We start from the raw sequence: 23121 nt of genomic DNA on the forward strand, positions 1-23121 counted from the left end.
AAAAGTCACAGAGTAAAAGAGAGAATAAAATTACAATTCCGTCTCTAGACTCTGTTTCAAATATAATTAGGGGAAACGGCTCTTCTCCATTTAGTTTTTCTGTTTTCATATTTGAAAATAAAATCCAACAATGGTAATAAGTACTTTTAAACTTTCAGCACCATATATATATATTTTGGAGACAGAGTCTTGCTCTGTTGCTCAGACTGGAGTGCAGTGACATGATCTCAGCTCACTGCATGTAACCTCCGCCTCTGGGTTCAAGCAATTCTCGTGCCTCAGCCTCCCCAGTAGCTGGGATTAGAGGCGTGTGCCACCACACCTGGCTAATTTTTGTATTTTTAGTAGAGACAGGGTTTCGCCATGTTGCCCAGGCTGGTCTCAAACTTCTGAGCTCAGGCCATCCTCCTGCCTCAGCCTCTCAAAATGCAAGGATTACAGGCGTGAGCCACCATGGCTGGCCTGGCGCCTGATATATTTGAGATAGTTGCTCACCATCATCCAACTGCAACTGTCCTTTGTCATAAAATCAGCGGCAAGCTTCTGGGGAAGGCACCCTGGCCAGTAATACATTCACTAGAAGACTTAACGTCCCTTTCTCTGCGTGGATCCTCTCTGACCTCTCAGCAGGGGATAAAACTGCTCCTGGTCTAAGACTCCCATAATCTCCCAAATCTCCTGCTATACAGCTTTGCCTTGGATCCTCTGCCTCCCCTCTCCCCCTAAACTTGAGATATTTCCTTTTCCAGGGCGGACACTCAATTACTGGTTAACTTGAACATAGAGACCTTGCTAGTTGGCACATACAGATAATTTCTTTTCTATAAAGCTCACCTCCACAAGCTTCCTGTTTACTGTGAGTGACAGCTGTGAGCCTTTGACCTTGCAGGTTGGGAGTTTTCCTACAAGACGCTTGCTCCTGGCCTTCCACTCAACTAGCATTTCCCAAACCTCAATTATCTGTGTACCAACCTTGTGATTTTTCTCATACGCATATGTCACCTGTGTGATTATTTAATATTTAGCTTTATTATTTCAATAAACTTGTAATGAAAAAACCTGTCACAAGTGAAAGACCAGTATTATTTGCCACGATCAAACTAAATATAACAAATGACTTCAGCAATATTTCAAATAAAAACATCCTGTCTATCACCAGTGATCTGGGAACCACATTTTGGAAAATAATACACATGAATTATCATTTCTTATGTGAAATTTACCCGTTTACTTTTCATCTTTAAAGGAGATTCCTCCACTCTTCTCTCTCGAGTCTTCCGAAATTCTACCCATGAACCTCATCCCAATACAAAATAACCAAGGATTGAAACTCATATAAGTACAAAAGGCCTTTAGGAGCCAGGAGGAAACAGAGGCCAAAGCAACATAAATCTTTCCCAAGTGATAGTCCAAGGACATCAAAACAGAAAGCCAATTGTTCTAATGTTTACATAAAATTCAGAAAGACTGCCTCCCAGAGAGCCAAAGCAGGCTGATAAAGCTTCCCAGATAGGAAGCACCATCTCCCAATTGTGATGTGTTCTGAAACCATCGTGAGAAGCCACTGTTTGTAGCTCAGTTTTGCATGAGACAATGTAAATAGAACAAAAGAAGTCAGAACAAGAATGAGCACACAGTTCTGGATGTTGCTCATGCTGTCTAAATCATCTATGTGCCCAACAGGCGGAAGACAGACATGCGCATAACGGATGTGACCAGCAGGTTGGCTCTCTAAGGACAGGGATCTTTTTTTTTCTCGTTTCCTGATATCTTTGGAGCCTAAAAGAGCAGAGTAAGAGCCTAATAAAATATTCATGAATGGGTGTTTATTGGCTGTAGACAGTCAGGATGGCTTCTGTTTTGAAAAGCAACAAGGAGGTGGATTTCCCGCTCAGAGTGGATGAGTCTGTTGTGTATGCAAAGCAACCTCACCAGTGAGCAGGCGCTCTGATGAAGACACTTGAGGCCAGGTGCCAGCACACTGGGAGGCTCAGGTTCCATTTCAGGGCTTTTTAATGGGGGGATAAAGGACTTAAGAAAATTCCTTTTGTAATCTTTAGGAAGGAGCGTTTCTCAGCAGCAAAGAGGCCTGCCCAGAGGACGGTGCCAGGCCCTTGGGGGCACTCTGCTTGGCCCCAGAGAACTCATGGCTGACCTTGGGCAGTAGCTACCCATGCAGCAGGAGTTTCTGCACCTGTGTGTACTGCAACCCTGGGGCTTGTTTAAAATACTGATTTATGGGCTGGGTGCGGTGGCTCACGCCTGTAATCCCAGCACTTTGGGAGGCGGAGGCGGAGGCGGGAGGATCACGAAGTCAGGAGATCAAGACCATCCTGGCTAACACGGTGAAACCCCGTCTCTACTAAAAATACAAAAAATTAGCCGGGTGTGGTGGCGGGCGCCTGTAGTCCCAGCTACTCGTGAGGCTGAGGCAGGAGAATGGCATGAACCCGGGAGGCAGAGGTTGCACTGAGCTGAGCCGAGATCGCGCCATTGCACTCCAGCCTGGGCGACATGCGAGACTCTGTCTAGGAAAACAAAAACAAAAAACAAAAAAGATACTGATTTATGAGAGAATCAGCTAATGCTGAGAGAAATTCCAAATGACTCCCTACCTAAGTGCAGGACAGCATCCAATGAGGGAGACGATGCTCATTAAAAATGCAGATTCTTGGGCCCCTTGTCAGGTCTAATAATTTTGACAGATTTGAAAATATACATTTTTCACCAGTATTCCAGGGGTTTGGATGCACCCGGTCCACAGGCTGGTTGGGAAACACTTCTCTGGGGCCCTTCAAAGGGGAACCTGTGCTAATAGAATATGCCTGGGACTGGAATGCTCAAGCTATTGCATTACATTCAGTTTAGTTGTTTTGTTTTTTTTTTTTTTCCAAGCAAGTTCCAATTTTATTTCTGCATGAATAAAATACCCCTCTGGAGCTCTGTTTTTCAATTTCCGGGGGAAAACATTTTTAAAGTGCCGATAAGATTCACTTCTTCAAGTTACTCCTGCTAGTTTCTGTCCAGCCCCTACATCACCATCACAGCCAGGTCACTCTCCCAGCTTCTGTTCTCGCAAATAGAGGAGGTGCTATTTTTCACCATAAAAGGAGAAGTAGCAATAATTCTAGGCAACAGAGAACTGGAAACAATTGGAGACAGGGTTCATGGCTGCTGTCTCAACAAAAGAGATTAATACAAGGCTTTCAAAATAAAAAAGGAGAGTTGAAAGAAACTAAGTGACGAGGCTCAATACACAGTTTAAGATTAAAAAACAACAGCAGAACAACGGAGCAGAATTCAAAATATGTTGTATTATTTTTGTTAGGTTTTTTTTGTGTGTGTGTGAGAGAGACAAGAGTCTCGCTCTGTCGCGCAGGCTGGAGTGCAGTCACACGATCTTGGTTTACTGCAACCTCCGCTTCCCAGGTTCAAGCAATTCTTCTGCCTCAGCCTCCCAAGCAGCTGGGATTACAAGCATGCGCCACCACACCTGGCTAATTTTTGTATTTTTAGTAGAGACGGGGTTTCACCACGTTGGCCAGGCTGGTCTCGAACTTCTGGTCTCAAGCTATCTGCCCACCTTGACCTCCCAAAGTGCTGGATTACAGGTGTAAGACACCGTGCCCTGCCTTATTAGTCTCTTGATTCGTTAATCTGCAAAACCATCTTTATTGCCTAACCAAGAAGAGCAGCAATTCCAAATATTTCCTGCTACTTTCTATCATCTTTGGGTCTCATTTTGATAAAGAATTTTCAAGTCCTAACTTGATTTGTGAGAGTACCTCTTATATCAGACAAAGTCAATGGGTCATGCTAACAAGTTTTAATCACAGAGAATTTTTGAATAATTATTTTTCTAATTTGAGATATCAAAAATAATATATTTCTCCTATTTGCCATATGTGCATTTTTTTTTACATCTGCATGCATCTTTTTTATGGATACAAAGTATTTTACATATTTATGGGGTACCTATGAATATCTGTTACATGCATAAAATCAAGCCAGGGTATTTGGGGTATCCATCACCTTGAGTATTTATCATGTCTCTGTGTCAGTAACATTTCAAGTCCTCTCTTCTAGCTACTTTGAGTATACAATACACTGTTGCTAATTATGGTCACTCTACTTTGCTATCAAATATTGAGCTTATTTCTTCTATCTAACTGTATGCTTGTACCCACTAATCAACCTCCCTTCATCCTCCCCTCCCAACCACACCCCCTTCCTGGCCTTTGGTATTTATTATTCTATTCTCGGCTCCACAAGACCAAGTGTTTTATCTCCCACCTATGAGTGAGAACATGCAGTACCTGCCTTGTTTTGCCTGGCTTATCCCACTTAACATAATGACCTCCATTTACATCCATGTTGCTGCAAATGACATGATTTCGTTCTTTTTCTATGGCTGAATAGTATCCCACTATGTATATATACCACACTTTCTTTATCCATCTGTCCATCAATGGACACTTAGGTTGATTCCTTATCTTTGCTATTGTGAATAGGGCTGTGATAAACATGCAAGCGCAGGTATTCCTGTGATATACAGATTTCTTTTTTCTTTGGATTAATACCTAGTAGTAGATTGCTGGATTGTATGGTAATCTATTTTGAGTTGTTGGAGAATTCTCCATACTGTTTTCCATAGTGGTTATATTAGTTTACATTCCCACCAACAGTGTATGAGTTCCCTTTTCTCTGCATCCTTGCCAGCATGTCATTTTTTGTCTTTTAGTAGTAGCTATTCTAACTAGGGAATGGTAGTATCTCACTATGGTTTTGATTTGCATTTCCTGACAATCAGTGATGTTGAACATTTTTTCACATACCTGTTGGCCATTTGTATGCCTTCTTTTAAAAACATTCATATTCATATTCTTAGCCCACTTTTTAATGGCATTATTTAAGTTGTTGAGTTATTTGAGTTCCTTGTATATTCTGGATATTAATCCCTTGTTGATCAATAGTTTGCAAATATTTTCTCCCATTCAACAAGTTGTTTTATTCACTCTGTTGACTATTTCCTTTGCTGTACAGAAGCTTCTTTTTTTTTTTTTTCCCTTAAAGAGACAAGGTTTCATTCTGTTGCCCAGCCCAGAGTGCAGAGGTACAATCTTAGCTTACTGCAGCCACAAATTCCTGGGCTCAAGTGATCCTCCTGTCTCAGTCTCCCAAGTAGCTGGGACTACAGGTGTGTGCCACCACACCCAGCTAATTTTTTAAAATTTTTTTATAGAGACAGCATTTCACTGTGTTGTCCAGGGTGGTCTTGAAATCCTGACCTCAAGTGATCCTCCTGCCTTGGCCTCCAAACATGTTGGGATTACAGGTGTGAGGCATCGCTTCTGACCTGTTCTTTTTGCTCAGGATTGCTTTGCTTTGGCTATTCAGGCTCTTTTTTGCTTCCACATGAAACTTGGGATTTTTTTTTCTCATGCCGTGAAATATGATGTTGGTATTCTGATAAGGATTGCATTAAACCTGTGGATTACTTTTGGAAATATGGTCATTTTAATTATGTTAATTCTTCCAATCCATGAGCATGGATGTCTAATTCCATTTGTTTCCTTTTCAATTTATTTCAGTAGCATTTTGTAGTTTTCCTTGCAGAGATCTTTCACCTCACTGATTAAATTTATTCCTAGGTATTTTATTTCTTTATAGCTATTGTAAATAGCATTGCTTTCTTGATTTCTTTTTCAGCTGGTTCACAATTGGTGTATAGATATGGTACTAATTTTTGTATGTTGATTTTGTGTCCTATAACTTTAGGGAATGTATTTATCAAATCTAGGAGTTTATTTTGGTGGTCTTTAGGTTTTCCTAGGTATGAAATCATATCTTGTTTATAGATTATAACATTTCAAATGTCTAATAAAATGTGTCTCCTTCAGGCACACTCAGGAAAAAATAAGCTTATATCACCCACAAAGAGGTACAATTTGACTTCCTCTTTTCCAATTTGGATGCCTTTGATTTCTCTCTTTTGCCTGACTGCTCTGGCTAGGACTTCCAGTACTATGTTGAATAGGAGTGGTGAAAGTGGGCATCCTTGTCTTGTTCCATACCTTAGAAGAAAGAGCTTCACCTTGTCCCAGTTCAGTATGATGTCAGCTGTGAGGTTTTCATAGCTTTATTATTTCAAGGTATGTATGTTCCTTCTATTTCTAGTTTGTTGAGTTTTTATCATGAAGGTATGTTGAATTTTGTCAAATGCTCTTTCTCCATTTATGGAGGTAATAACATAGTTTTTGTTCTTCATTCTATTGATGTGATATATCACGTTTATTGATTTGCATATGTTGGACCATTCTTGTATCCCTGGTATAAATTCTAGTTGGTCATGGTGCATTATGTTCATGATGTGCTGTTGGATTTGGTTTGCTAGTATTTAGTCGAAGACTTTTTGCACCTATGTTCATCAGGGATATTCGCCTGTTGTTTTCTTTTTCTGTTGTGTCCTTGCCTGGTTTTGGTATCAGGGTAATGCTGACCTTGTAGAATGAGTTAGGGAGAGTTCCCTCCTCTTCAATCTTTTGGAATAGTTTCAGGAAGATTGGTATTAGTTCTTCATTATACATTTGGTAGAGTTTGGCTGTGAATCCATTTGGTCCTGCTTTTTCTTTGTTGGGAGACATTTTTATTACTGATTCAATCCCAGTAGTTGTAATTGATTGGTTTAGGTTTTCTATTTCTTCCTGATTCAAGCTTGGTTGGTTGGTTGTATATTTACAGGAATTTATCCATTTCCTCTAGGTTTTCAGCTTATCAGTGTATAGTTGTTCATAATAATCTCTGATGATCTTTTGTACTTCTGTCTCCTTTTTGATTTCTGATTATGTTTATTTGGGTTTTCTCTCTTCTTGGTTAGTCTAGCTAGTGGTTTATCAATTTTGTTTATCTTTTCAAATAACCAACTTTTCATTTCATTGATCTTTTGTACTTTTTTTAGTCTCTGCTTCATTTAGTTTTGCTCTGATCTTTATTATTTCTTTCCTTTTACTAATGTTGGGTTTGGTTTGTTCTTGTATTTTAGTTCCTTGGGATGCATCATTAGGCTATTTGTTGTTGATGTAGACATTTATTGCTATAAACTTCCCTCTGAACACTCCCTTCTCTGTATCCCACAGGTTTTGGTAGATTGTGTTTCCATTTTCATTTGTTTCAAAAATGTTTTAAATTTCCATCTTAATTTCTTCATTGACCAAATAATGATTCAGTAGTATGTTGTTTAATTTCCATGTATTTTTTATAGTTTCCAAAGTTCCTCTTGGTATTGATCCCTAGTTTTATTCCATTGTGGTCTGAGAAAATAACAGTATAATTTTGATTTTTTAAAATGTGTTGAGGCTTGTTTTGTGGCCTAAAACATGGTCTATTATAAAGAATGTTCCATGTGCTGATAAGAAGAATGTATATTCTATAGTTGCTGGATAAAATGTTTTCTAAATGTCTGTTTGGTCAATTTGGTCTAAAGTCCAGATTGAATCCAATGTTTCTTTGTTGATTTTCTGTCTTCATGGTCTGTCTAACGACGAGAGTGGAGTGTTGAAGTCCCCTACTATTATTGTACTGGAGTCTATCTCTCTCTTTAGATACAGTAATATTTGCTTATGAATCTGAGTGCTCCAGTTTTGGGAGCATATATATTTAAAGTTGTTATTTCCTCTTGCTGGATTGATCCTCTTATTATTACACACTGACATTTTTTGTCTTTTGAAGTCTGTTTTACCTGACATAAGTATAGTTACTCCTGCTTGCTTTTGGTTTCTGCTTGCATGTAATATCTTTTTCTATCCCTTTATTGTGAGTTTATGTGTATCTTTGCAAGTAAAGTGGGTTTCTTGTAGGCAGCATATAGTTAGATCATGTTCCTTTATTCATTCATCCAATCTACATCTTTTAAGTGGATGATTTAATCCGTTTATATTCAAGGTTATTATTGATATGTGAAGTTTTGTTTTTGTCATAAAGTTAGTTGTTTTCTGGTTCCTTTGTTCATTTCTTTTTCTCTTGTTTGTCATTGTGGTTTGGTAATTTTATGTAGTAGTATCACTTGAGTCCTTTCTCTTCCTCATTTGTGTGTTTGGTTAACCAATGGGTTTTATATTCTCGTGTGTTTTCATGGTGGTAAATGTTGTCCTTTCACTTCACTTCCAGGTTTAGGACTTCTTTGTGCCTTTCTTGTAGGGCCAGCCGGTCTAGTGGTCATAAATTCTCTCAGCATTTGCTTGTCTGAGAAATACTTTATTTTTTCTTTATTTATGAAGAGTAATTTTGCTGGATATAGTATCCTTGGGTGCAACCTTTTTTCATTCAGTACTTTTCACATGCCATCCCATTCTTTTCTGGCCTGTAAGGTTTCTAATGAGAAGTCTGCTGTTAGTCAGATAGGGGTTCCTTTATAGGTGACTATAAACTTTTCTTGTGCTGTTGTTAGAATCCTCTCATTGTCATTAACTTTAGACAGTTTGACTATAATATGCTGTGGAGAAGACCTTTTTGCATTGTATCTGTTTGAGCATCTTTGAGCCCCCTGTATCTGGATGTCTAAGTCTTTTCTAAACATGGAAAGTTTTCATCTATTATTTCATTAAATATGTTTTCTAACATTTTCATTCTCTCTCTATCCTTGAGGACACTGATAATTTAAATTTTGGTTGCTTTATGTATGTTGTCCCAAATGTCACAAAGGCTTTGCACTTTCTTTTTTCTTTTTTTCTTTATTTTTGTCTGATTTGATTACATTAAAAGATCTGTATTCAAGTTGAGATTCTTTCTTCTACTTGAGCAAGTCTACTGTTAAAGCTTTCAAACGTATTTCATATTTCATTTAATAAACTCTCTAATTCCAGAATCTCTGTTTTATTCTTTTTAAAAGTATCTCTTTTTGGGAAATTTCTCATTCATATCCTGAATTGTTTTTCTCCTCCTCTGTTTTTCAGAATTCTCTTGTATCTCACTGAGCTTCTTTAAAATCAGTATTTTGAAATCTTTGAGATTTTGTGAATTTCTCTTTGATTGGGATCTGTTTCTGGAGAATTATTGTGTTCCTTTGGAGGTGTCCTATTACCTTGCTTTTTCCTGTTTCCTGTGTTTTTACGTTGATATCTGGTGTAACAGTCCAAGTTTTTGAATTTGTTTTCATAGGGGAGGACTTTTTCCTGAAGATATAAGATATGTACATCTACTTTTTTGTGACGAGATATATATATATGGCACTATGGCTTTGATTTTGGGTGCATGCAGTTAGTCCTTATATGATTTCTTCAGCTGTAAACAGTGTCAATGGTGTCTGTGATTTCCTCAGTGGCTTAGGGTGCAGTTATTAGTAAGTCTGTGGTGAAGTTTTACTGGGGACTAAGATGCCAGATGGCCAGTCTGCAGGCCTTAGTGGTGGGAGCAGTGAGCTGAACATGCCTGTACTTAAACCCACAGTATATGTTGGCTCTGGTGTTAGTGGGTCTAGGTTTGCCAATTCTAGGGCTTCCAGTTGGCTTGCTCACATGCTGGTGGTGGCAGCAGTGGGCCAGGCATGTGGGCAGGTTCTCAGACCACTGGGCAGCAGGTATGATGTGGGCAATGGCAGTAGCAGTGATGGGGCAGCCCAGTGGGACCCAAATGGTCCATGCTGTTGTTCCTGGTGTCTGCAAAAGTCTAGGAGTGCCAGTCCCCTGGCCTTCAGGTGGCTTGTGCAGGTGGGTGCCAGCTGTGGTGGTATCAGCAGGTTGGGTGAGCCCAACCTCAGACCCTGGGAGGAGTGCTCAAATGTCAATGGTGTTGGACTGTGTTCGCTGATCCCAGGCCCCTGATGGCAGGCTGAAGTAATGGGGGAAGGGAACTAGGTTGGTGGACGTGTCCTCAGGGCCTCTGGTAGTGAGTTCAGGTGATGGTGCTGACAGGCAGAGGCCAACCAGTCCACAGGCCACTGGCACAATGTTCAGGTGGGGGCAGCAGTGCACTTCAGGCCTGCCTCCAAAGAGGATGAGGCCACTCAGTGGGAGCTGCTTAGGGAACTGTGAAACTCACAGTTTGCTGGCACCTTGGTCCCACAGAAGCCTGCAGCAGCAGCAATGCTATTTGTCTTTGGGGCATGTGATAGTGCCTGGCCTCTCCTCTTCCTTCTTGGCCTGGCAGCAGCAGAAGTGGTGTTGGCCTAAGGGCAGGACATAGTCCTTTGAGGATTGTGCTTTCAGGCTGGTGCCCACTGTGGGCATGCCACCAGGGAGGGCAGGGTCATTCTCAATGGGAACGGCATAGGCAGGCAGCTGTGGGGCTTATGGGTTTCTCACGTCTTAGTCCCACAACAGCTGCAGCTGCAGTGGGATTTGTCCTCAAGATGTGTGAAAGGGCCTGACCTCCTCTGTTCCTCTTTGGTCTACCACAGCTGCAGTGGCATCAGCTCCAGGGAATGCAGTCCTTTGCCAGTTGAGCTCTCAGAATGGTGCCATATTGTAGCTGCTCAGGTCTCAGGAGCCCGTGGGACTAAGCATGAGCTCCCTTTGGAGCAATGTCACTGCACAATCTCTAGGTAGCTCTCTATGAGAGTCTCAAGGCCTGCAAGGGTTAAGCGCCTCTCGCTGGTAGAAATCCCTTGCAGGAATGTGGAGCCCTGAGGGGATCACTCATTTACCTTTTCCCCATGTTTGGGAGCTTCTTCCAGCTCCCAGCCAATCCTGGCCAAGCAGGCTACCTTGCTTCCCTCTCCTTCTTTGCTTTTGGTGCTTCCCGTCACTTCTCTGTTGAATGCCAGTGTTCTCTCTTCCACGATGTATTTAAAGTGTGAATATCTACTTGCTATTTTGGTTCCTCTCCATGGAAGAGGTGTGTACTAGCTGCATCTAGTTGGTCATCTTGCCTCCTTCCCATAAGTGCATTTAAAAGTTCAAATGCAGTGAGGCTACAAGGCTAATTTTTACTCTAATTTGAGCTATTCATACAATCAAATTTGTATAACTTATTATAAATATGGTATTCCTAAAAAAATCAATACAAATATTTCTCTTACTGTTAAATGCCTTACTTTAGGAAATGATTGGCATTGATTTAATCTTCTGTATGTAGTCACATAATCTAGACATCTTTGAGATGTGCCAAAACATTATAACTGTTGCTCCCATAAAGAGTTACACAATTGTGCTCATTTTATGTCAATAGCTCATATGTATAAGATTCCAGAAATGTAACAAAATACAGAGAATCTTAAGAATCAAATGCTTATTAGGGACAAAATTCTGTTTTGGAAAACCCTCTCGACATCAATTACTTTTCCCTAAAAACAAACCACACAAAGTATAAAGGAAAAAAAATCTCTTCAAATAAACTCTGTGGCTTGTAGATAAAATATTAGTGATTCTCTTAGAAGTACAACTCATTTCATTTGTAAGAAGGGTCAGTAGGTTGGGCATGGTGTCTCACGCCTGTAATCCCAGCACTTTGGGAGGCCAAGGCAGGCAGATCACTTGAGGTCAGGAGTTCAAGACCAGCCTGGCCAACATGGAGAAACCCTGTATCTACTAAAAATACAAAAATTAGCCAGGCATGGTAGCATGTGCCTGTAGACCCAGCTACTAAGGAGGCTAAAGCACGAGAATCACTTGAACCTGGAGGCAGAGGTTGTAGTGAGCCAAGATCACGTCACTGCATCTCAAAAAAAAAAAAAAAAAAAAGAAGGTTCATGGGTTCATGAGCTCACTGTCATCTCTAAGAGAATGACTCATAATTGTTTTACTTTCTTAAAAAGGCAAATTGTAAGCATATTCATTAATGGTTTTAGAATCTCTAAAACTCACTGCTGCTTCTGAAAATTAACATTTTCCTCATTCTTGCAGAAACATTCACCAAGAAATCACAACACCAGGGCCGTGATAAGACTTTGGACTCTCAGCCTTTAAAAAGAGTATGAGAAGTAATCTAACACTACAGCAGTTAACACAAGAATGAGCCTGAAGTCAGAATTTCTCCTTGCACAATTATGATTGTCCAAAAGTTTGGTTTTGCTTATGTTGAAAAAGAAAGGGTAAAGACAAAAATTACTTAAAGGAAAAAAAAGAAGCTCTAAAAAGAGACAATAGACTTAAAATCCTTAAGCCTCAATAAGGCAGGCACAAAGATGAAGGAACCATCTTGAAGCACTACAACATTTTGCTGAAACACCAGTAACTACAGTACCTAAACCACCTTCCTATCCTTTCCTCCTCCACTTCTAAAGATAAATTTAAAACAAATGCTAGTTAAATAAGAGGAGCTACCAGTGCAATTAAATACAGAATCAAGTTAAAAATGAAAACATGGGAATTCCAATACTGTAGGTCTTTAAAAATATAATGCACTACCGTTCACCTTGGAAAGCTAAGAAGTCATTCTCTTGAAGTCCTTCTCAGAATTCTGTCAGAATATGAAATTCAGATGGAAATATATATGCAAATAGGTATACATTATTTTTTAGCCCACCACTGTGAAAGAAAATATGCAAATTTGCTCTTGAAAGGTCCAGTTTATGAATGCGTGGTCAAAGTAACAGCAGGATATTGGAAACATAACATCAACTACTTAAAACTCAGTAACAGCAGGATATTGGAAACATAACATCAACCACTTAAAACAGGCCTTACCATTTTCACCTTCTTTTATCTATCCCTGTAGACCTGCTGATTCCCTGGTCAGAGTGTCCAACTCATCCTCACACTGTTCCGCATTACTTTTCCCATAAATTCTCCTAAGGTTCCAAGAAGAAGGTCTCATTCTCTTCTCCCTGTTACTACTATATCTTTACATACCATTATCGTTGCATTTGCCATGATCTTTATATGTCTTCTCATTAGTCTATGAGTTCCCTGCAATCAGCAACTATCTTCTCCCTTTTGAACCCCAGCACCTGACAACACCAGCTGTAAGAGTAAATGCTCAAGAAATGTCTGAATAATTTAAGAATTATCTAACACACACTTCAGGAGGCCGAGGCAGGTGGATCACCTGAGGTCAGGAGTTCGAGACCAGCCTGGCCAACACAGCGAAACCCCGTCTCTAACTAAATATACAAAAAATAGCCGGGCGTGGTGGCGGGTGCCTGTAATCCCAGTTACATGGGAGGCTGAGGCAGGAGAATCACTTGAACCAGGGAGGCAGAGGTTGCAGTGAGCCGAGATCATGCCACTGCACTCCAGCCTGGGTGACAGAGCGAGCTCCATCTCAAAAAAAAAAAAAAAAAAAAAAAAGAATTATCTAATCCGCACTCCTTATCTAATCACCATATAGCCTTGGGCTTTTTCTTAGCATTTAATTCAGAGCGGCCTCTCCCAATATAAATGAAATATACCCTCCCCTTGTAAATCTCCTCTCGGTGTCCAAATCAACAAATAAGTTTGTGCCTACTCAACTTTTTGAGTTCTCATCAAGAGGTCTTCATTATGACATCTCTCTCTGAAAGAGAAAAATTTCTTTTCTGGCGCACAGCTGTGAATCAGGATGTGCTTAGAGTCATTCCAATCATTCTTTAGTAAGCATCCATTGATCGCCTAGCTGGGCACTATCTAGGCTTGAGTTTACACTCCTGTGGGAAAGGTCAATCCCCCAGATTTCTTGCCTCTAGGCCAAAAGCCCTTTGAGCCCCAAACTCTCCATGACTAAGACCAAAACATTTGGGTGAGAATTTTTCAATGTATCTCTTACTGGTAGCCAAAAAAAGTTCCTTAAATATCTACATTTAATTTCCAAGGGGCAACCTAATGATTCATGACGAGTAATCACCTCCAGCCCCACTCATCAAGATGTCTCTCTATTTGTGGGGAGATGTATTCAAAAACAGGCTGGATTCCTCTCTCCAGGATGGGTTAAAATAGCCAGGATGACCATATCTTCTGGTTGCCCAGGGCAGCCTCGGTTTATAACCACTGTCCTGAGGTAATTATCGATAGCATCCTTTGCATTCTCCAGAGTATCCTGGTCCAGACAATAATGTATATGGTCATCCTACATATAACTCTGTCTTATTGGGTGTGGGGGAGGCTTTATAAGAAAATCCATAAGCAACCAGCTTTTCCTTTTCATACAACCTCTATCTTAAAAAATAACTCAGATTTTCAGTAAGAAAATTGTGGGAGTTAGATGTGTTTCTTACATTGGGAGGATGTACTTTTTGCCCTTGCTATAAAACCAGCGAACAACATAACCCAACTGTCTGCTTTGTTTCAGACAGTGGGGAAACACAGTGAAAAAGGTCATTTCAACTAAAATGCAATCTGTAGATGAGATAGCTATTATCTGTGTTAATTATATCTCCAGTGACCTACTTAGGGGAAAAATATCTTTCCACCAAAATCCTATTTGATGTATCTTCAAAGGCTGTAATTAAATATATAAAAAGGAATTCCGTTGTTACAAGAAAAAAAGAGGTAAAATTAGCTCTATTTTTGTTCTATCAATTAGTGGGATGCCTTTGCTGTCGTAATAACGAAAGTTATGCCTCCAAGGCGTAAGGAAGCAAAAGAGAACAATCTGCAGCTTCCTTTCATTTTACCCCAGTGATACAGATGTGTCCTGTGGTTTTTTCATTAAAATGATGGAAAAGGCAGGATGGCACAATACTTACAACAAGGCAGTCCCTTTTGGATTTATTATTTTTTTTCTTGGCACTAAAGAGCCTATCCTTGCTGGAATCCCAGATTTCTAGCATGCTAGTTAACTGGATGACCTTAAACAAATTACTTAAACCCTTTGACCCTCAGCTTCCTCATCAAGTAAATGAGTATAATTAATAAATAAATAAGTATAATACATCAAGTAAATGAGTATAATATAAATGAGTATAACACATCATCATTTGTTGTGAGAATGAAAATCACATTAATTGTAGAAAGCAGTATTCAAACATTCATTATTATGATAAGTGATAAGGGTGATACCTGCGGAAATGGAGAGGAAGAAGCAAATGCAATGGTTTGGAAAACTCAATGCATTTGGAAGACAAGGTCGGAGATGGGAATCATAATCTTTGAGACATTGGTGAACTTAGTGGCATTTCTATTAATAAGGAGAAAGTTGGAAAAGGTGCCTGAATCAGTTTCTTAGGCTGCTGTAACAAAGTACCTCATACTGGCTGGCTTAAAACCCAGGAAACACATCCTCTCACGGAGCTGCTGAGAGGGACTCTGCTCCATGCTCCTCTCCCAGCTCCTGGTGGTTGTGGGCAATGCTTGATGTTCTTTGCTTGTGGCAGTGTAACTCCAACCTGTGCCTTTGCCTTCACATGGTCCTCTTTACTCTGGTGTGTCTGTGTCCCATTTTCAGTCTTCTTAAAGACACCAGCCACAATTAATTTGGGGCCCACTCAAATCCACTATGAGCACAGCTTGACTTGATTACATCTACAGAGACCCTATTTCCAAATAAGGTCACATTCACAGGTTCCAAATTCATCACGAATTGGAGTGGGGGCGCACGATTCAACCCAGCACAGGGCCTGTTTGGGAGCAGTGATCACAGGGTCAACACTCTTAAATTGGACATAATAAAGTTCCTCTAGGAGGACTTTTACAGAAATGAAAAGAATAATAGGGATTCATGCACATTTTCCACATATAGCAAATTTTTTTAGCCTCTAACATGAAAGGGTCTCTTCATTGTTCTCATTTGTCTTACCCGCCATCCAGTGTTAAGCAGTATGTTAAAGAGCTTCTTCTTTACAACTTTTCCCCTCACATTATTTTCTACATGCAGCAACTTCTTTAACCAAGTTGTTTGATTAGGAGTAAATGTGCATAAACGATCATATTATTAAGCTTCTGCACCCATGTGGCAGCATCACTTTAACTTCTTCCTCAACCACCCCAGAAGTGTGGACCCAGAGATCCCTTCCCATTTAATATGGTAAGTACGTGGTTCAACTCTTTACTATTTAATGAGAAAGCCTTTCTTTTTTTTTTTCTTTTTTTTTCTAAGACAGAGTCTTGCTCTATTGCCAGGCTGGAGTGCAATGGCACAATCTAGGCCCACTGCAACCTCCGTCTCCTGGGTTCAAGCGATTGCCTCAGCCTCCCGAGTAGCTGGGATTACAGGCACGTGCCACCACACCCAGCTAATTTTTGGATTTTTAGCAGAGACAGGGTTTCACCATGTTGGCCAGGATGGTCTTGATCTCCTGACCTTATGATCCCGCCCACCTCGGCCTCCCAAAGTGCCGGGATTACAGGCGTGAGCCACCGTGCCCAGCCAAGAAAGTCTTTCGATAGGACATGTAGTCTCTAGTTCAACACAAGCCCTCCCAAGTGCTCTCCCTCATCCTTGTGGTCTGATACCAGATCCATTCGCACATTTACGGTACCTGTTGGAGCTCTGAAAGCTTAAGTTTGCCACCCATGAACTCCATGAATTCTAACACCCTGTGGCCCTGAAACCAGCCCTCCTTTTCAAGCTAGAACTATCACTTGACTCCATGTCACCCAAAATTCCCGCACTTGTCACTGAAGGGCCAGCCATTTTCCCTTATTATTCAGTTGTTTTGAAATGTTTCTCAGTCCAGCTTTGGTCTCCCCCACAACTAGATTAAAAATAGCTTTGTATTTTGTATCCTCCCACAACACCTAGCCTGACAATCTGCACAGAACAGACATTCAAATGCTTGCTGGCAGAAAATGAAAGGCCCAGTGGGACAATGTCCTACAATGGCTCTCCTATTCTGGGGCTCTTGGCGCCACCCTAAGAGTTGGGGAAAAGAGCCCCAACTTTGGAGGACCTCATTTCGGCCCTCTTTCATCTTCTCCCCACCCAAGGGAGCAATGAGGACACAGGCCCAAGGGACCGTGCCTATTTGTAGCCCATGTCCTCTCCCCAGCTTCACATCCTCGTTGCAAGCGCTTGGGACTCTATAATTTTCTCCACCCAAATGATCCCAAACCCACTTCTAGGGCTTGCATGGGCCCTCCCCAGTCCATCGTCTTGGGGGTGAACATGTCACTGGTGTACATGTCACTAAATCTGAAGGTAGCCAGGGGACAGATGTTTGCAAGGGGGTGTTGACAAAGCCTGGATGTTCTAGCCAGGGTGCACATAAAGTCTTTTGCACTGTGGGTGGGAGGGGGTAGAGAGAAGGGAACACCAGCCAGGGGTTTCCATTGGTAACCCTGTCTGTGCCCTGCAAATGTACGGTGCCTCCCTGGCTCAACATGCACTCAGGGGTTGAAGCAGTAACTATCAATGGCAATATTTTCTCATTTCCAACTTTTATCCAGGATATGCTCTTTCAGCCTCGGTATATTTTGGTATAGATCTACTCAGTAAAGAAAGATCTCACTTCGATTTGTTTGCTAAAAGAATGGTAGACTAAATACAGAGAAAGCCTTCACCTTCACCCAGAGTTTTTAAGAAGTGAAAGAAACTTTGCAAGCATGTACAATTGGTACATATTATTAGCTAAAGGTGCTAAGATTCCTCTGAGTTAGCCAGTTTCTGGAGCAGATATAATACCCAGGACAATTGGGAGTAATGTCATGTGGTCACATACATATCAATATCCACCCTGAAATACCATCGCAGTGCACATCTAGGTTCAAAACACACTCATTATCATAAAATACAGTCAAGTTAGGAGCTACAGCATGAAATCAATTCAACAATACTAATTAAAAGTACATTTAAACTATCTTCAAAGCAGCTGTTAAATCTCACTTTATCTATTCTATAATCCAACCATTGTTTACACATGGAAGTTCAAAGAGAATCAAATGGGAGGTGGAAATGAGATGGGCTTGACAAGGCTTTGTTAAGGTCAGGTTGTCCACAGGGGCAACAAAATTATTCACAGGGTAAAGTGTGCAAATTAAGATGGTCACCTTCGTATTCACTCTCACACACTGGAAATTTAGCTACGCTAGGTCTCAAAATCAGACATCAGATTTTTCCTTACTGTTATGCTATTGTGGGCCCAGTTCCTGTTTTAAATTCAGTATGGAATTGAAAATACAACTCTGATTTTCCTGATGAGGAATATCTTCAGGCAGTCTGCTTGGTCTTCCCCTACCCCTGCCCTCAAAACATACATTGCTGAATTGTTTTCCATCATAGGTTGAAAGGGAAAATTTTCAACCTTTTTGGCAGATTAGCTGAAAATTTTCATTATACTTTATACAGAATGTATGTGCCTGCAAATCAACAAGCAATGCAAATCAAGCATCTTTGGCTAGCATGCTTTGACACAGTTTGATATATTATACATTCTTTAGCTGTTCTTTTCCTCCTCTCCCTCCTCATCCTTTTTCAAATTTTGAATCTTCAATTTCTACTCATCTACTAATGCTGACAACTCAAACTCTGTCCTGCAGATAAGCAGGGTCTTTAGACTTCCTTTATGTGGTCAACCACTGGCATAAACTCATCCCCATCCACGCCAGCCTGCCCCTTGGCCACCATGAAGTACATCTTGCAGCAGGCACAAAACTAGTCAAGGGACTAGAAAAAGCAGGACCTCATCATATACATGCGCAGACACTCACCCACCCCCCCTTCAAGTGACCCCAAATCACTAGGTCATCAAGTTCTGAAGCTGCCTCCAGACTGAAGCTGAAGCCCTCTTTCATGGGACCCTTCCCTGCTCCTAAAGTCTGGTCAATTCCAGCCCCTAGGAAGAAATATAGTGAAAAATAGGAAGGATTATTCTCCTACTAGATCTGAGCAGCATCTTTGGGCAACAAGAAACAATAAGAAAAAGAGTTAGGGCCATGTTCTTTGCTTTTTTTAAAAAAAAATCCTTTTCATTCTTCATGGCTCATTTGGTAGAAATCATCTTCAGTGATTTTAGAAGGCCAGTATTTGCAAATACAGCCTTAATATAAAGAAATTTGGCCAGGCGCGGTAGCTCATGCCTGTAATCCCAGTACTTTGGGAGGCCGAGTCAGGCGGATCACCTGAGGTCAGGAGTTCGAGACCAGCCTGGCCAACGTGGTGAAATCCTGTCTCTATTAAAAATACCAAAATTAGCCAGGTGTGGTGGTGGGCACTGGTAATCCCAGCTATTTGGGAGGCTGAGGCAGGAGAATCACTTGAACCCGGGAGGCAGAGGTTGCAGTGAGCCAAGATCAAGCCTTTGCAGCAGGAGAGAAACTCCATCTCAAAAAAAAAAAAAAAAAAAAGAAAAAGAAAGAAAGAAATTCAACACAAACAATCAATTATTCCCAAAAGTTCTAAAATAAAATTGAATCTATAATATCCAGATTCTGGGGGATTATTTGTTTGGTTTTTCTTTTGGTGGGGAGTTGGTGGTGAAAAGTGAAGGACAGTGGAGGCTTTGAGAGGCTGAGAGATGAACAAATCTGAGAAAATAATCTGGAAATGAAAATAATGAGAGATAACATGCTCCGAGCATTTCTTGGGTTTTTATAGCTTTGGTTTCTGGAAAGAATGGATTTGCTGATGAGCTTTCCTAACAGAATTGAAAACTGAAACTTTTCTTGGTCCTACATTCTGTGATATGTCCCAAGTTACACCAACTGGTGAATTTGATTCTCATTTTTGTTATGATATATTATTTATAACAATTGCATTCTGCTCTTTTAAGAATTTCAAGATCACCTCACCAAGAATGATTACTCTGACATAATAAAGGAAACAAATGTTACCAAAGACCCAATTCACTCAGCAAGGGAGCAAGGGCAACCTCTTCCAGAAGGACCTACCGTTGTAGCCTTCACAACATCAGAGAAACAAGGATAAATTTTAATATCATTATTATTTCACCTTAGTTTCTTTTTAATGCCCAAGCATTTTTGGGTTCTTATAGCCAAATACAATTAGTGCTATTAAGCATCTTAATTGAAATGCCCATAACTATCAGATTCTAACTTATTTTCCATCCAGCGTTAAGCAGCAGAAACTGTGCCAACCAACAGAACACTGTACTGCAGGCTGCCAGGAGAAAAGTGAACATAACTCAATGAGGGTTTTCTGAAAACTGCATCTACTGCATCATCATGACAATATGAATGAGGATCACTCCATTTACCTAATGGTGACATGACCTGCTGGAAAAACACATCCCAGGAAAAAAGGCACATCAAAGTCCCAAACTAGCCTTATGGAAGCTAATTATTCTCATATGTCTCTCAGAGGAGCTTCATAAATATTGATCATTCATGGAAGGGTGAAATCTCAATAATTAGCCTTGTTCTTTTCTACTCCCCCAGCCCAGTTCTTGGATATACCCGGGCTCCTTCCTTAGTACCTCTCCCTAAGACTATGCAAGAGACAGGGAGAGAGTAAGGGAAGGAATGTTTATGGAGAAACCATGTGTGGCAGGCACTACACTACACCTACCATCTTCATAAATGGCATCTCAGAGTAGTGCTGGGACTAGATCTTAACCACATGGAAACAAGATCAGACCTATATGGCACATCAAAATCAATCCCAGGTGAGTCAATGATTTATATGCAAAAAACTTCAATGATCAGTTTTTTTTAAAACAGCACCAATAGAAAAAAAAAGCAGGGAAAGTACATAAAGGCAATTCACAAGAAGAGAATACAAGTAGGCATATGAAAACTATTTGGCCTCATTATCATGGAGTGCAAATGAAAATCATGCCATACCATATTTTGTTTGCAAGAGGGGCAAATTGACAAAAAAAATCCAGTGTTAATGGGCATATGAGAAAACAGACACCCATTCCCACTTATTTGTGTGCACAGCAAGATGAAGAATTATATGACAGCTTGCATCACCATCATTCAAAGTGGGATGTTATGTCACCCAAAAATTCCAATTCTAGGATATATAATCTAAAGAAATCATTGGACAAGTGGCCAAATACCTATGTAATGGGAAAGTAATCACAGTGTGATCCACAATAACAAAAATGAGAAAAAAAATAAATGCGTAGTGATAGGAGACCAATTAGTTATGTTGACTCTCCACAATGGAAATATATGGCTGAGAAAATCAATGCAGATGAATATTTACTGACATGAAATGCCGTCTACAGTACAGTAAATGAGAAAGTAATGAATAAAACCTACTAGGCCAGGAGGGAGTACAGTAAAGGTTAAGAGGGGTACCTGTGCTCAAATTCCAAGTCTGCCACTTACCTGCTGCCTCACCATGAACAGGCTCTCAATTGGCCTCATCTGGGAAACGGGAATGGTAACACTGCAAGCACTCAGCCAGTGCTCAGCCCACAGCAAGCCTTTAAAAGTGTCTCTGTTACTTTCAGGTGAAGATGATTTGGATTATTTTTAAGCTTGCACACACATATACACACATCTGTAAGTTGGAATTATAGTCACCAAAACTTAATGGTGGTAATCACTGGGTGGTAGGCGAACAGTGTTTCATTATTTATGCACAAGAAAGTAAACACAATTCTATCCCCTCTTGGTTATGAGCATGTCATGCCTATTAGTTGTCAAAGTTCAAACCTAAGAATTTTTGTTAAAAGTTTTTTTAAAGTTTTAGTATCAGTTTGACTGTTAGCAAGAACAGGGATGCTGTCTGTTCTGTTTCCTCTCATTTTCAATGCGAGGGATTCATATTCTGTTGGCTATTTTGATACTAAAGTCATCCACTTTATATAAATTTAAAAATACTATTAATACTTCATCCAAACAATTTTGGATCCCCAAGATAACTGTGTCAAAACATTCTCTGACAAAGGTCTATGTTTATAAAAATGAAGAACTGAGCTGCACTGTAATTCCTTTCTAAATCTTCAGAAAAACATCTCCTGTCTGCTCCAAATTGCTCACAGACATGGAGTTTATTACCCTGTGCTGGAAGCCAAATGGGGATCTCATTTCTACTGTGACAATTAAAGACAAAATCCTGTGCTAGAATTGCATGTTTTTGTGGCTGAGTTTTCTTTTTTTAAATGCAAATGTAAAAATGATACTTTTCCTCCATCTGACTAGCAAAAACTAAAGTCAGATAACAAAACGTTGGTGGATGTGTGAGGAAACAGAAAGTTCCATGCATTGCCGTTGGAACAATAAGTTAGTGCAGATGCTTTGAAGAGAATTTGGCAGTATTTTTTTTTAAAATGAAAATATGCACATTTTAGATTGGTTATTAGATGATACTATGGAATTACTGTGGTTTTATTAGATATGATAATTTTATTGTGGTTACATAAGAGAATGATTATCAGCAAATCAGTGAAGGAATACTTAGGGAGTAAAGTCTAACACTTTAAAAGTTTCAGTAAAAAATAAACACACATGGCTGGGTACAGTGACTCATGCCTGTAATCCCAGCACTTTGGGAGGCTGAGGCGGGTGGATCATTTGAGCTCAGGAGTTCAAAACCAGCCTGACCAACATGGCGAAACTCGGTCTCTACCAAAAGTACAAAAAATTAGCTGGGCGTGGTGGCATGGGCCATTCCCAGCTACTCATGAGGCTAAGGTGGGAGTAACGCTTGAGCCTGGGAGGCCTAAGTTGCAATGAACCGAGACTGCACCACTGCACTCCAACCTGGGTGACAGAGTGAGACCCAATCACAAAAAAAGAAAAACATCCCCACATATATGCCTGAGTGTGTGTCTATCTAGAGAAAAAGCATATATGGTAAGATTACATTCTTGGATAATTTAGGTAAAAGGCAAGCAGATGATTGTTGTGTTCTTTCAACTTTCCTGCAGGTTTAAAAAATGTCAAAACTAAAGAGTTGGAGAAAAAAGTGGCATGGCCTCATTTCCACAAGGTAACATGCACGACGATGTCCACTGCACCATTAGTAACCGTGAATAACTGGGTGTTGCCCAAATGCCTGAACAAAATGTGTATTTGTTGGAGGAAATATTTTACAGCAATGAAAAGGAGTGTACTGAATCTATAGCATAACAGCATAGATGGATCTTAGAAAGCAGTGCTGAGTGAAAAAATAAATACCTGAATATAGGTTGCCTAATGAGTCTCATAATACCATTTGCTTCAACATTTATTTGAAAGCACACATAAGGCCGGGCACAGTGGCTCATGCCTGTAATCTCAACAGTTTGGGAGGCCGAGGTGGGCAGATCACCTGAGGTCAGGAGTTCAAAATCAGCTTGGCCAACATGGTGAAACCCCATCTCTACAAAAATACAAAAATTAGCCGGGCATGATGGTGGGTGCCTGTAGTCCCAGCTACTCA

General features: G+C 40.3%; 1 protein-coding gene across 1 annotated transcript in view, besides 1 other annotated feature; it reads right to left on the minus strand.

The window, feature by feature from the left end:
• Positions 1-23121, minus strand: part of GNA14 (G protein subunit alpha 14) — a 225244-nt gene that overhangs the window by 109938 nt on the left and 92185 nt on the right. The gene's annotated exons all lie outside the window — the stretch shown is intronic.
• Positions 1238-1750: an enhancer, noted in NCBI's record as "OCT4-NANOG-H3K27ac-H3K4me1 hESC enhancer chr9:80149170-80149682 (GRCh37/hg19 assembly coordinates)". NCBI's record gives its function as "activates a minimal SCP1, AML or CMV promoter by ChIP-STARR-seq in naive H9 embryonic stem cells {active_cell/tissue: H9 hESC(naive)}" and the evidence as "EXISTENCE:reporter gene assay evidence [ECO:0000049][PMID:30033119]".

This window comes from Homo sapiens, chromosome 9 (assembly GCF_000001405.40).
Source record: "Homo sapiens chromosome 9, GRCh38.p14 Primary Assembly".
NCBI classification, from domain to species: Eukaryota; Metazoa; Chordata; class Mammalia; order Primates; family Hominidae; genus Homo; species Homo sapiens.